A 14553-nucleotide genomic window follows, 5' to 3' on the forward strand; every position below is an offset into this window, starting at 1 on the left:
CTTGCTGGAAAGGCATTGTGATCATTTGGAGAAGAGACACTCTGACCTTTTGGGTTTTCAGAGTTTTTTTGTTCTTTCTCATCTTCACAAGTTTGTCTAGTTTTGATCTTTGAGGTTGCTGACCCTTGGATGGGGTTTTTGTGGGGAATTTTTTTGTTGATGCTGTTGTTGTTGCTGTCTGTTTGTTTGTTTTTCTTTCAAAGGTCAGGTCTCTCTTCTGTAGGACTGCTGAGGTTTGCTAGGGATTCACTACAGGCCTTATTCATCTGGTGTTTGCTCTTGCACCTGGAGACATCACTCAAGGAGGCTGGAGAACAGAAAAGATGGATGCCTGCTCCTTCCTCTGGGATCTCTGACCTTGAGGGGCACCAACCAGATGGCAGTAGGAATGCTCCTATATAGGGTGTCTGATGACCCCTGTTGGAGGGTCTCACCCAGTTGGGTGGCATGGGGAGCAAGACTTGTTTAATGAAACACTTTGACTATCCCTTGGTGGAGGGGGTGTGCTTTGCTGGGGGGAACCCACTCATCTGGGCTGCCTAGATTCCTCAGAACTAGCAGAAGGAAAGACTAAGTCTGCTGGTCCATGGAGACCGCAGCACCCCTCCCCCTAGGGGCTCAGCCCCAGGGGGATCAGAGTTCTGTCCCTGAGTCCCTGGCTGGAGTTGTTGGAGTTCCTGCAGGGAGGCCCCGCCCAATAAGGAGGGATGAGTCAGGGTCAGGCTTGAAGAGGGTCTGGCCGCAGTTTGCCACAGCTGGTGTGTTGGGGTGGGGGTGTGGGAGTTACTGCTTGGGACCAAGCCATCCAGCCTCCCTGGCTCCAGCAGGGAAAAAGCGCAGCCTGGAGCTATAGAGATGGCTGTTCCCTTCCCCCACCCTGGGAACTTAGTGTGTTAGGTGGCTATCAGTCCCAGTGTTGGCTACCATCTCTCCCCCCAAGGAGCTCAAACAGCTTGGACAGCAGAGAGCTGCAGCTGTGGTGCTGACTGCCCCTGCCCCTGGGAACTTAGCAGGCTTAAGCAGATTCTAGCTGAGTGGCTGTTGAGAATCAGTGCAACTCCGTGCTTGGGAGGCTAGGCCTGGTGGTGTGGGCTCACTAGTGGGATCTTCTGACCTGTGGGTTGCACAGTTCCATGAAAAAAGCATGGTTTCCCAGGCTGGGTAGCACACTCACTCACTGCCTCCCTTGGCTGTGGGCTGGGGGCTTCCCTGCCCCATGTGGCTCTCAGGTGGGCCACCGCACCATAATGGTCTTCCTTCCTCTCCGAGGGTCACGCCAGCTGCCTGGTCAGTTCTGATGACAGAACCTGGATACCTCCGTTGCCAGTGAAGGATTTGCGTGCTGTTATAGTCCTTTTTGATGGGAGCCTCCAATCGCTGCTCCTTCTAGTCGGCCATCATGTCCTCACCTGTGACTTTCTTAAACTGTCTTTTTTTACTTAGCACAATGGTTTTGAGTTTCATCCATGTTGTAGCATGTATCAGTACTTCATTTCTTTTTGTGGCTGAATAATATTCTATTATATGTATATACCACTAATTATTTATCCATTCGTCTGTTGATGGATAGGGTATTTGGTCTGTCTTCACTTTTGGACTATTGTAAATCATGCTGTTATGAACATGTATTTACATGTATTTGTTTCAGTACCTGTTTTCAGTTCTTTTGGGTATATACCTATCAGTAGAATTCTGGGGTCATTTGGTAATTCTATGTTTAGCATTTTAAGGAACTGGCAAATTATTTTCCACAGTGGTTGAACTATTTTACACTCCAACCAGCACTATATAAGGCTTCCAATTTTTCCACATCCTCCTCCACACTTGTTATTTTCTATTTGGGTTCTTATTACAGCCATCCTAGTGAATGTGAAGTGGTAATTCATTGTAGTCCTGATTTGCATTTCCCTGAAGACTAATAATGTCAAGCATTTTTTCATGTGTTTGTTGACCATGTGTAGATCCTCTTTAGATAAATGTCTATTCAAGTCAGTTACCCACGTTTTAATTGGATTGTTTGTCTTTTTGTTGTTGAGTCATGAGTTTTTTATATATTCTAGATTCTAGCCCCTTATCAGATATGTGATTTGCAAATATTTTCTCCTTTTCTATAGACTGTCTTTTCAGTGTCTTGACATCTTTCAATGTTTAAAGTTTTAAAAAATTATTAAGTCAAATTGGTTTGTTTTCTTGTTTGTTATTTTGGTATCATATCTAAAATCCATTGCCAAATCCAATGTCATGATGACTTACCCACTTGTGTTTGTCTAAGTGTGCTATTATGGTTTTATCTCTTATATTTAGGTAATTGATCGATTGGGAGTTAATTTTTGTATGTGGTGTGAGGTAGGGGTCCACCTTCTTTCTTTTGCATGTGGTTATCACTTGTCCCAGCATCATTTGTTGAAGAGACTATTTTTTCTCCATTAAATGGTCTTGGCACCCTTATAAGTGTTTATTTTTGTACTCTCAGTTCTATTCCTTTGGTCCATATGTGTATCTTTATGCTAGTGCCATGCTGTTTTGATTACTGTAGCTTTGTAGTCAGTGTTGAAATTGGGAAGCGTGAGTCTTCCAACTTTGTTTTTCCTTTGCAATATTCTTCTGGCTACACTTGCAATTTAATATGAATTTCAGAATCAGCTTTTCAATTTCTACAAAAAAAAATAGGCTATTGAAATTTCAATAGCAATTGCATTGAATCTGGAGATCAATTTGTGGAGTACTGCCATCTTAATAATATTAAGTCTTCCAATCCATGGACATAGGATGTCTTTCTACTTACTTAGGTATTCTATAATTTCTTTCAGAAATGTTTTGTAGTTTTCAGTCTATAACTATTTTACCTCTTTGGTTAAGTTTATTCCTAGGCATTTTCTTTTTTGGATGCCACTGTAAATAGAATTTTCTTAATTTCCTTTTAAGAGGGTTCATTGGCAATGTATAGAAAAAACTGATTTTTGAGTGTTTATATCATACCCTGTAACTTTGCTAAATTCATTTATTAGCTCTAGTAGCTTTCTTGTGAATACTTTGGGAGTTTTCATATATAGGATAATATCATCTAAGGATAGAAATAGTTTTACCTCTTCCTTTCCAATTTGGATGGCTTTTATTTCTTTTTCTTGTCTAATTGCACTGGCTACTGTTTCCTGGACAGTGTTAAATAGCAGTGGTGAAAGAAAGTGTCCTTGTCTTGTTCCTAATCCTAGGGAGAAAGCTTTTAGTATTTCACCATTTGATATGTTGTTACCTGAGGGTTTTTCATAAATGCTCTTTATTATGTTAAGGAAGTTCCCTTCTAATCCTAGTTTTCTGAGGAATCATGGAAGGGTGTTGGTTTTTTTCAAATGCCTTTTTGCGTCAGTGGAGATAATCATGTGGGTTTTTTTTTTTTTCCATTTTTCTATGATGTGGTGCATTGCCCGAAGTGATTTTCTTATGTTGAACCACCCTTGCGTTACAGGGATAAATCACACTTGATCATGATGTATAATACACTTAATAGGCTGTTGGATTTAGTTTGCTAGTATTTTGTGGAGAATTTTTGCATCTATATTCACAAGGAATATTGGTTTTTAGCTTTCTTTTTTATCACGTCTCTGTCTGGCTTCAGTATAAAGTCAAGGCTAGCCCCATAGAACGAGTTAGTAAGCATCCTTTCCACCCATTTTTTTTCTAGCAGTTTGAAAATTTGGTGTTATTTAAGTGCATGGTAGAATTCACCAGTGAAGCTATCTGGTCCTGATGGCTTCTTTGTGGGGAGATTTTTGGTTATTGATTCAATCTCTGTATTATTATCAGTCTGTTCAGATTTCCTATTTCCTCTTTACTTAGATTTAGTAGTCTATGTGTTTTTAGGAATTTGTACAGTTCATCTAGGTTATCTAATTGGTTGATCTACAACTGTTCCATAACATAATATTTATAATACTTTGTATTTCTATTTGGTTGGTGGTAATGTCCTCACTTTCATTTTTGATTTTAGTTATTTATTTCTTCTTCCTCTTTTTCTTATCGATTTAAAGTTTTGTCAATTTTCTTGATCTTTTCCAAGAACCAACTTCTAGTTTCATTGATTCTCTCAACTGTGTTTCTACTCTCTGTTTCATTTATCTCTTCTCTAATCTTTATTAGTTTCATCCTTGCTAGCTTTCAATTTAGTTTGCTCTTCCTTTTCCAGTTCCTTGAGGTATAAAGTTAGATTATTGATTTCAAATCTTCTTCTTCTTTTTTTTTTTTTTTTTTTTCTTTTGAGATGGAGTCTTACTCTGTCTCCCAGGCTGGTGCAATCTTGGCTCACTGCAATCTCTGCCTGCCAGGTTCAAGCGATTCTCCTGCCTCAGCCTCCCAAATAGCCGGGATTACAGGCACACGCATACCACCACACCGAGCTAATTTTTGTATTTTTAGTAGAGCCAAGGTTTCACCATGTTGGCCAGGCTGGTCTCAAACTCCTGACCTCAAGTGATCTGCTTGTCTCAACCTCCCAAAGTCCTGGGATTACAGGCGTGAGCCAGCATGCCCAACTCTCACATCTTTTTTAATATGAACATTTACTGCTATTAATTTTCCTCTGAGCACTGTTTTTACTGCATCCCATATATTTTGATACATTGCAATTTTGTTTTTATTCTTCTCCAAGTAAATCTAATTTTCCTGTGATTTATCCTTGTGACTCATTGGTTAAGAATGTGTTGCTTAATTTGCACATATTTGTAAATTTTTTAGTTTTCCTTGTATTAACTTCTAGTTTCATTCCATTTTGGTTGGAGAAGATACTTTGTATGATTTCAATCTTTTTAAATATATTAAGACTTTTTGTGGCCTAACATTTGATCTATCCTGGAGAAGATTTCATATCCACTTGAGAAGAATGTATATTCAGCTTTTTTGGGGTGGAATGCTCTACATGTCTGCTAGGTCTAGTTGGTTTATACTATTTTTCAAGTTGTCTATTTTCTTTTGGATCTTCTGTTTTTCTATTTATTATTAAAAGTGACATAATGTAGTCTCCAGTGACTATTGTAGTACTGTCTATTTTTCCCTTCAAGTCTGCCAATGTCTCGTTCATATATTTTTGGGCCCTGTTATTTGATGGATATATGTGTATAATTGCTATATCTTCTTGATGAATTATCTTTTTGTCAATACATAATATCCTTCTTTGTCTCCTGTAACAGTTTTTTACTAAAAGTCTATTTATCTAATATTAGTTTAGCCACGCCATCTCTCTTTTGGTTACTGTTTGCATGAAAAATCTTCTTCCATAATTTCACTTTAATCTATTGGTCTTTGCATCTAAATTAAGTCCTTTGCAGATAACATATGATTTGATCATTTGATCATGTTGTATTATCCATTCTGCCAAGCTCTGCCTCTTGATTGAAGAGGTTAATCCATCTACATTTAAAGTAATTATTGATAAGGAAGGTCTTACGGCTGCCATTTTGCTATTTGATTTCTGTATGTTCTATACCATTTTTCTATTTCTCACTTCTTCCAATACTGTCTTATTTTGTATTTTAGCTTATTCTTAGTGGTATACCATTTTATTCCCTTCTCATTTTCTTTTGTGATTTTTAAAAAATATTTTCTTAGTCATTACCATGTGAGTTACAATTAACAACCTAAATTTATAACAACCTAATTTTAACTTATACCAACTTAGTTTCAGTAACATACAAACACTCCACTACTAAGCAGCTTAATCACCCCTTACGTGTTGTTGTCACAAATTATATCTTTATAAGTTGTGTGCCAGATTGATAATTATTTTTAAGGATTTGTCTTTTAAATCATATAGGAAATAAAAAGAGGAGTTACAAACCAAAATACAATTATCCTAGCTTTAATATATTTACCTATGTAGTTGTCTTTACTGAAGTTCTTTATTTCTTTGTATGGCCTCAAATTATCTCCTAGTAGTCAGCCTGAAGTACTCCCTTTATCATTTCTTTAGGGTAAGTCTACTAACACCAAGCTCCTTCTGCTTTCATTTATCTCAAAATGTCTTAATTTCTTCTTTATTTTTGAAGGATAGTCTTGCCATTTATAGAATTGTTGGTTTACACTTTTTTCTAGCACTTTATATATGTCATTCTACTATTTTCTGGCCTTCATAGTTTCAAAGCAAAATTGGCTGTTAATCTTATTGATGATCCCTTGCACATAATGTGTCACTTCTTTCTTGCTGCTTTCAATATTCTCTCTTTGTCCTCAGTTCAAAAATTGCCTCAAAAATTGAGAGTATCTGTACAATGAAATAATATATGAACAGGACCTGGCCTACAGAAGGAACTCAATAAATACTGGGTAATATAAATGATTCCTGTTATTTAGTGGGTGATTCTACATGCATTTGATTTTTAATTTAAATAATTAGCCATAATTATAACTTAAAATGTCTAAAAATTCACACTGAGAAGGTCTAGATATTGGACTTACTAGAAAAAGACTTTCAGTCAATTGTCTTAAATATGCCCAAAGAGCTAAAGGATAATTTGATTATAATGCCTCAGTGTGGATTTTTTTGAGTCTATTCTACTTAGAGTTCATTGAGCAACTTGAATAAGCTGGTTCAGACTTTTAGCAAATTGGGAAGTTTTCAGCCATTATTTCTTGAAATATTTTTTCTGCTTCATTTCTCTCATTTCTCCTTCAAGACTCCCACAATGCATAGAAGGTAAGCTTGATGTTAACTATCTTATCACATTCTCTGACTCTTTCTTCTGCTTGCTGAAATCTGCTATTGAACCCCTATAATTAATTTTCCATTTGTTATTGTGCCATTCAGCTCCAGAATTACTATTTGGTTCTGTTTTATAATTTATATCATGTTTTTATATTCTCCTTTTGTTCATAAATCATTTTCCTGATTTCTTTTAGTTCTTTGTCCATGGTTTTCTTTAGTTCTTCGGGCATATTTAAGGCAACTGATTGAAAGTCTTTTTCTATTAAGTCCAATATAGAGGCCTTCTCAGTATGAACTTTTAAAGACATTTTAAGTGATAATTATGACTTTTTATTTAAATTAAAAATCAGGCTGGGTGTGATCCCTATTCACACCTGTAATCCCAGCACTTTGGGAAGCAGAGGCAGATGGATCTCTTGAGCTCAGGAGTTTAATACCAGCCTGGGCAACATGGTGAAACCCTGTCTCTACAAAAAATACAAAAATTAGCCAGGCATGATGGTGCACGTCTGTAGTCCCAGCTACTCAGGAGCATAAGGTGGTAGAATCACATGAGCCCAGGAAGTCAAGGCTGCAATGAGCCAAGATCCTGCCCTGCACTCCAGCCTGGGTGACAACAGTGAGGCCCTGTCTCAAAAAAAAAAAAAAAAAAAAAAAATCAACTGCATGTAGAACCACCTACTAAGTTACAGGAATTTTCTATATTACCCAATATTTACTGCAGTCCTCCTGTAGGCCAGATCTTGTTCATACATTATTTTGTTGGACAAGTACACTCGACCTTTGACAGGAAAAGAAACTGAGGCACAGGATTAGTAAAGTCATATGATTAGTAAATGGCAATACCAACATATGAACGAGGCAACTTTAACACAGAACTCTCACTTACAATCATCATGCTTTAGCTTCTCTCAGCTGTAGTTTGCCTTCGTGGGGGCAATGATAACCTAGGACTCTGCCTAGTGAGTATAAGTTTCTCTAATATCAGTCATAATGGCCATCCTAAGCTTAAAAACATTCAAATATGTATCTTGAAATTTCAAGCATAATGCATGTCATAAAGAGGAAAGGACAGGGTAAAATAGGAGCCCACAGCTAAGCCCACAGTCTTAACCTAGAAAGGAAATCAAGTGTGGCCTAGCTTAGAATCAGATCATTCAGTAGAGGACTCAACAGACCAGGTAAAATATGAGGAAAACATGTTCTAGGCTGAGGAAAGCAGCAAATACCTGAAAAGGACAAAAGAGTGATCACTTAAGGTATTAAAAGAAGCCCAAAATCACCAGGAAGAAGCAGCAGGACATAAGTCTGGAGAGTTAGGAAGATGCCTTATTCCAGGATTAAGATTTTGGATTTTATTCTAAAGGTGAGGGGAAGACATTTAATAGTTGTAGGTGGTAAAGAAACATAACAACATAGAATCTGACAAGGGAGAAAGTGAGGCAAACAATTAGGAGGTTAGCATTGAAACTATGAGTTGATGGTGGCTTGAACAACGGGTAGGAATGGAGATAGATAGTAGCAATGGGGACATAGAGTGTAAGCATGCAAGAAATACTGCAGAGGAGTACTCACATGATGTACCTGATTGGGTGACTGATTGAATGTTGGGAATTAAGATATTTAAATCTTTATTATGTGGACAATGTTTTAATTTCTTTCTTCCTCTATTAACATAAAAATTAAGCATACACTTTTTTTTTTTTTTTGAGACAGAGTCTCACTCTGTTGCCCAGGCTGGAGTACAGTGGTGCCATCTCAGGTCACTGCAACCTCCGCCTCCCAGGTGCAAATGATTCTTGTGCCTCAGCTTCCTGAGTAGCTGGGATTACAGACGTGTACCACAACACCTGGCTAATTTTTGTACTTTTAGTAGAGATGAATTTTCTCCATGTTGGCCAGGCTGGTCTCGAACTCCTGGCCTCAAGTGATCTGCCTGCCTTGGCCTCTCAAAGTGATGGGATTACAGGTGTGAGCTACAATGTGCAGCCAAAAACAAGCGTACACTTTTAAATTCTACTTGTAGTTATTTATCTTCATATTAAAAAAACTAAAATGATACATCTTCAATTATTAGAATGAGATCCTGTAATTTTCTTATTTCTATATATAGATTAGAAAATGAGTAAAATAGCAGAACACATTTACTTCCTGCCACCTCTCTCCCACCCACTTGCATATTTGTTGCTGTAATCAGAAAGTTGTGACCATATTATTATTATTAAATTATTTATTAGGTAATAATTTATATCTTATGTGTCAAAAATTACATTTTTCCATTGCTTTGTAGTTGCAACATGTTTTTAATTTATGTTTAAATTATTTCAAATGTTTCCTAATATTTATTTTATATCAAAATTTCACCTTTCTTGAGTTTTTAATTTTGACTCCTTCTCGAATAAGGGAAGCATATCTTCAATTGTTTCAGAAAATGGGTGGTATGATGTTTGAACCTTGAGGTATCTGAGAATGTCTTTGTTTTCCTTTTCTTGAATAAATGATAACTTGAGTAGGCAGACACTATAGGTCAAATCTTTCCCAGGCAACTGTAGATGTTATTCTATTCAGCTTTTGAAGTTTACTGCTGAAGACAAGTTTTTCTTCCTTTGCAATTAATTTTTTTTCCACCTGGATTCTTGTCGAACTTTTTCCATAACTTAGATACCAGAAGCCTTCCTTCACCCTCTCAAGGCTGGATGATGGACTTTCCAATGTGTTTTCAGAGTACCATATATTACCCCTAATGTAAAAATCATAATACCACATTGTATAGTAATTGCCTGATTCTTGTATGTATGTCACCCAGTATAGACACCAAGTTCTTTAAAGGTAGGACAGTGTCTTAGTGATCTTTCTATCCCTAATTCTTAGCACATAGCAAATATTCCCAAAATATTCACTGATTAAATTAATGACTTGATAGGGCATTTAATATTGAAATTTTTAACAAGATAGGTCATTAATATATTTCAAAACACATTGAGTCCTTTTCATTTTTACAAAGTATTGTATTGGTTCAAAGTATTACTTCAGATAGCTTCTGATATATCTGTGGTTGCCGTCTCTGTTCTATTTACCCCAATTTCTTCTTCAGGAAGAAGTTGGGGCATAATCTTTCTACCATTTCCTTTAATGGTTGTCACCTATTTGTACTTTCCAGTCATATTTTGGAAGAGTTTTTCAAGCTTTTACTCTAATCATTGATTTATTATTCTGCAATACTGATTCCATCTTTGATTATGTCCAAATTATATGTGAATTTTGCCATTGCATGTTGTTCTGTGTCCTTACAGACTTAACTTATCCAACTTTGGTTTTATTTCACCTTGTCTCTAGTTCCCTCCTTATCTTAGTCTAATAGCTTATCATGTATTTCATCTCTTTTTGCATAGAAAATACAAAGCAGATTCTCTCCATATACTTCTGCTTCTGGTAAATAATTTTCCAAAGTATTCACTTTCTTTGTATTTTGAAGACTCTCTTTCAGACAGCATAATCTTTTCAAAGGGATGCTTTCTCTTGAATTACTCGTTCCAAGCCTTGTGTCAACCTTACTACCTGAATGTGTGGATTTTGGTTCTTGGCTCTTCTCATTATCTGTCTGATGCTATTAAGTTCTTCAGCATAGATGTTGAACTGGAAGACATATAGACATGCACAGTCAACAGCTAACTTTTTGGTTTGAAGCTGACATTTATCAACTTTGTCACTGCGGGTGTTGGGCTGAGGTGAGATTCCTTACCTTTAATAGCTAGTTATTTTACTATAAAGAGAAGAATTCCTGGTTAATCAGAAACAATGATTTGTCTTTTTCTTGATAAGAACCATATATGAAAAAGTAAACCCCCAGAGAAACAAACACCCAGTTCTGTCTGCCCAACCCCTTTCATTATTAGTTTCCTAAGCTTGGACACAGAGCATTACACCTATCCACTCCCTTTGGGTTATTGCTGGTATTCTCTAGGCCGTAGCTCCAAAATGGGTCATAGAGTGGAGAAACTAATGGGAGAGATTAGGGCAAAGAGGTGTAAAATACTTCTTAGCCATCACACATAGTAGTGGAATTACTAGTAGGGGCCGTGAGGCAGGTAGCTTCCTTACTATCCTTCCATACCAACACCTTTGATTGCCTTCCAACAAAAAAGTACATGTCCATTTCAGCTTCACAGTTCTTGCAATAAGTCCAGTATCCTATCAAATTCTGGAACTAGGGTGCTTGTCAACAGGGTTATAGCTGCTCTTATGGTACTTTTCTGTGAGTTAGAAAAAGCACCTCTCTGAGAAGACACAGGCTGAAGGAGGCAAGGCTTTGCAACTGAGCACAGCCTGCTCAACCATACACAGTGGCCCTGGTTGTCAGTCTGCCTTCCAAGGCCATTGTGAGTTCTCATGTTTTTCTGATTTTTCATAGCCATTTTAGTTGGAGAGTCTGCAATATAATCAGCCAGTCCAGATGTCATCGTAAATCAGAAGTCAACCAGATTCCATTAATAGTGATATTGCACATCAAAGATTTGACTGAGAACATAACTGACATTCCAAGTCATAGTAACTGTTTATATTGCCAGGTTTCCTTGTCCTTAGGTTTATATTCAGAAGTCTCAATAAATTATTAAGCAGTTTTAAAACTAGGATTCAAAATATTTTTGAGACAGAGTCTCTCTCTGTTGCCCAGGCTGGAGTGCAGTGGCGTGATCTTGGCTCACTGAAATTTCTGCCTTCCGGGTTCAAGTGATCCTCCTGCCTCAGCCTCCCATATAGCTGGGATTACAGGTGTGCACCACCAAACCTGGCTAATTTTTGTATTTTCAGCAGAAACGGGTTTTCACCATGTTGGCCAGGCTGGTCTCAAACTCCTGACCTCAAGTGATCAGCCCGCCTTGGCCTCCCGAAGTGCTGGGATTACAGGCGTGAGCCACTGCACCCGTCCAGGTTCCAAAATATCTTTTAAAGGCCTGCAATTCCCTCATTTTCTTTTAATAATAATTCATTAATTAATATTATTAAATAGAGACGTGGTCTCACTATGTTGCCCAGGCTGGTCTGAAACTCCTGTGCTCAAGTGATCCTCTGCCCTTGGCCTCCCAAAGTGTTAGGATTATATGTGTGAGCACCACACCTGGTCAGTTCCCCATTTTCATGCCACCATACCCAACCTCCAAAGCCACATCACTGCTCACTAACTTGAGGTATATAATAATATGAGTGAAGGAAAATTGGAATAAAATTATGTCATTATTTTAAAAGATTATTCCTCAAATAAATGTCAACTCAATTTCTAACCTTTGTAAAACATACTGTATGTGAATTCTTAAAAAATCATCATTATAGGAAAAGGAAAATGTTTGATGCCATTTTAGCATTGATTACAAAATAATTCTACCAGCATTTATGCATATTTCACATACAGGGGAATTATGCAGCCACTTCTCTTCAAGACTACAACATCATGGAAGTGGAAAGAGAAAAATACGCATTTAAGAAATGTGTATATCTAGCTATTTCCTTATTCAAAGTTTTTAGCACCTCCATATTTCAAAATGCCTATGCATTCAGCTTTAGACTCTGAGTATATTACTAAATTCCACTATTTCAATCAGAAATCTTCAAATCAGCTTATTTAATTTGCTCAAGCAGTGCTGAATAAACTGGACTTCATCAAAATTAAGAATTTCTGCTTTGCAATAGATATTGTCAAGAGAGTAAAAAGACAAGCCACAGACAAGGAGAAAATTTTTTGCAAAAGACATATCTGATAAAGGACTTATCAAAAATACAAAGAACACTTAAAACTCAACATTTGGAAAACAACCTGATTAAAAAATGGGCCAAAGGCCTTTACCTCCCCAAAGAAGTTAACCAGATGGTAAATAAATAGCCATATGAAAAGATCCTCCACGTCATATGTCATCAGGGAAATGCAAATTAAAACAACAATAAAATATGACACACATCTATTAGAATGGCCAAAATCCAGAACACTTACAACACCAAATGCTGGCAAGGATTTGGAGCAACAGGAACTCTTATTCATTCCTGGTGGGAATGCAAAATGGTAGCCACTTTGGAAGACAATTTGGCAATTGCTTACAAAACTAAACATTCTCTTACCTTATGATCCAGCAATCATACTACTTGGTATTTATCCAAAGGAGATGAAAACTTATGTCCGCACAAAAAAACCTGCACACAGATATTTATAACAGCTTTTTTTCATCACACTGGGGTGAGGGATGTTGATAATGGGGAAGGGCTATGCTTGTGTCGGGGCAGAAAGTATATGGAAAATCTCTGGACATTCCTTTCCATTTTGCTGTGAATCTAAAACTGCCCTCAAAAAAAGTTTAAATAATTTTTTTAAAGCAGTACTGTATTGTGATGTTTAACTCAATTACTTATTACAAGAAAACTATTCAACTGGTCAAAACGTTATATATAAGAAGTTTCTGTTTGTTAAAAACATTGTTTCAAATATATTTAGGCTTTGACTTTTAAAAGTATACAGCAACATTCAAGATAACTAGACAGAATGCACTGCAACTTGGCAGGTTTTTAAATCCTTGGACTTACTGGCCTAAGGAAAGATGTGTAAACATCCATGATTCAGAAATACAGGGAGAAATTGGGGCAGCCAGACCTCATCCTCTTGCCCTAAAGGGAAAAGATATCTTTCTTGCGGTATCTAAGATATGAATCTTAGATAATATTCATGCATGGCTAGGAATTGGAATAATGGGAAAGTCTTAATTCATGGGAAATTTTCTAATAAAGTTCCACCTCCATTTCCAGCCATTCCTCTTTAACAAATACATTTAGTGAAAAATACTACCAGTTGGGGAGAAACCAAATGGGTATGTGTATATGTAGTGTTTCTCAGAGTGTGGACTTTAACCACGTTTAATTACATAAATTTACGAGGATCTGTTGAAAATGCAGGTTCCTGGGCTTCACTCCAGTTGCTCTGAAATGAAAGCTGTAGGAGTCGGTTGGTGAAACTACATTTTGTTTCTCAGGTGATTCTTGTGTACTCTAACTCATATATAGGGTGATGTTATTTATTTACTGGTTATTTATTTACCGGTTATTTATCGTTTGGCAAAAAAATCCAGCAAAGACTCACAAGTGACCTTTACACTTGACATAGGATTCTCTTCCGCTGCTGACGCTTTTTTTTTCTAAGAGGCGGGGACTTGGCTGGGCAGGGCTGGGGGAGGGCGCTAGGCGGGGCGGGCAGGGGCGGGGCAGAAGAGCCCTGGGCTGGGTGGGGCAGGGCGGAAGGGCCCTGGCCTTGTTGGGTGGAGGTGAAGAGTTAATGGCTCCGCGCGCAGGCACTGCCCTCTGAACTGGAACAAAATGCAACTTCCGGTTGGAGTCACTCGGCCAGGCGCCGGCGACCTGAGGGGAGAGGGAACGCAGCTGAAAGCGTGAACTGTGTGAGTAAGAAACTTTGTGAATTGGTGTGTCCGAATCCGTCAAGCACGACGTCGGAGAATTTGTATGCGTGAGCGAGAGGGACGCGCTGACAGTAGGGGCGCCGCAGGGAGAGAAGCCGAGGAGCAGCGGAGACAACCAATTTGCAGTTTGGGGAGGGATTTTGTGCGGGAGAAACCACGCGAGTCCTTCCCCCGGAGCGGACTCCTTGTGGGTTGGTTTCCGGGCCCGCGATGTCAGCATAGCATCGTCGGCCTCTGCCCCAACGGCTTCAAGGGAGGGACTCGTCCCGGCTGCTTTGCCCGGGAAATGGGGGTGGAAGGGCCTGCGGTGTCGAGGTGAGCAGTGGACCCTCCAGGAACATTCCCGACTTCCCTTCGGGAGAGAGACTGCCTCCTAGAATCAAGTAGTATCGTGGTTACTCTTTC

At 38.2% G+C, this 14553-nt stretch overlaps 1 protein-coding gene and 1 long non-coding RNA gene across 14 annotated transcripts in view, besides 1 other annotated feature; one reads left to right on the plus strand and one right to left on the minus strand.

Annotated features, from left to right (window-relative positions):
• Positions 1–13931, minus strand: part of TANK-AS1 (TANK antisense RNA 1) — a 64199-nt gene extending 50268 nt beyond the window's left edge. The window contains exons 1-2 of the long non-coding RNA NR_187173.1: positions 13773–13931; positions 12806–12877 (exon numbers count right to left, since the gene is read on the minus strand). This is a non-coding gene — a long non-coding RNA (TANK antisense RNA 1). The remainder of the gene's footprint in view (positions 1–12805; positions 12878–13772) is intronic.
• Positions 1–14553, plus strand: part of TANK (TRAF family member associated NFKB activator) — a 99268-nt gene that overhangs the window by 9397 nt on the left and 75318 nt on the right. For 6 of the 13 annotated variants that reach the window (XM_047441814.1, XM_047441806.1, XM_047441812.1 and 3 more), the window contains exon 1: positions 14069–14127. The exons of 3 other annotated variants lie outside the window; for them this stretch is intronic. Coding sequence is in view for 2 of the 10 variants with exons in the window: in XM_047441804.1 (XP_047297760.1) it covers positions 14192–14463 (272 nt within the window). In the remaining 8 variants the exon portion in view is untranslated. Of the gene's footprint in view, positions 1–14068; positions 14464–14553 lie in introns of those variants that run through there. 4 more of the 13 variants (XM_047441804.1, XM_005246207.4, XM_024452335.2 and 1 more) reach the window with 2 other exon arrangements.
• Positions 13779–14542: an enhancer, noted in NCBI's record as "H3K27ac hESC enhancer chr2:162016649-162017412 (GRCh37/hg19 assembly coordinates)". NCBI's record gives its function as "activates a minimal SCP1, AML or CMV promoter by ChIP-STARR-seq in naive H9 embryonic stem cells {active_cell/tissue: H9 hESC(naive)}" and the evidence as "EXISTENCE:reporter gene assay evidence [ECO:0000049][PMID:30033119]".

The sequence above is a fragment of the Homo sapiens genome, chromosome 2 (genome assembly GCF_000001405.40).
Source record: "Homo sapiens chromosome 2, GRCh38.p14 Primary Assembly".
Classification (NCBI taxonomy): Eukaryota; Metazoa; Chordata; class Mammalia; order Primates; family Hominidae; genus Homo; species Homo sapiens.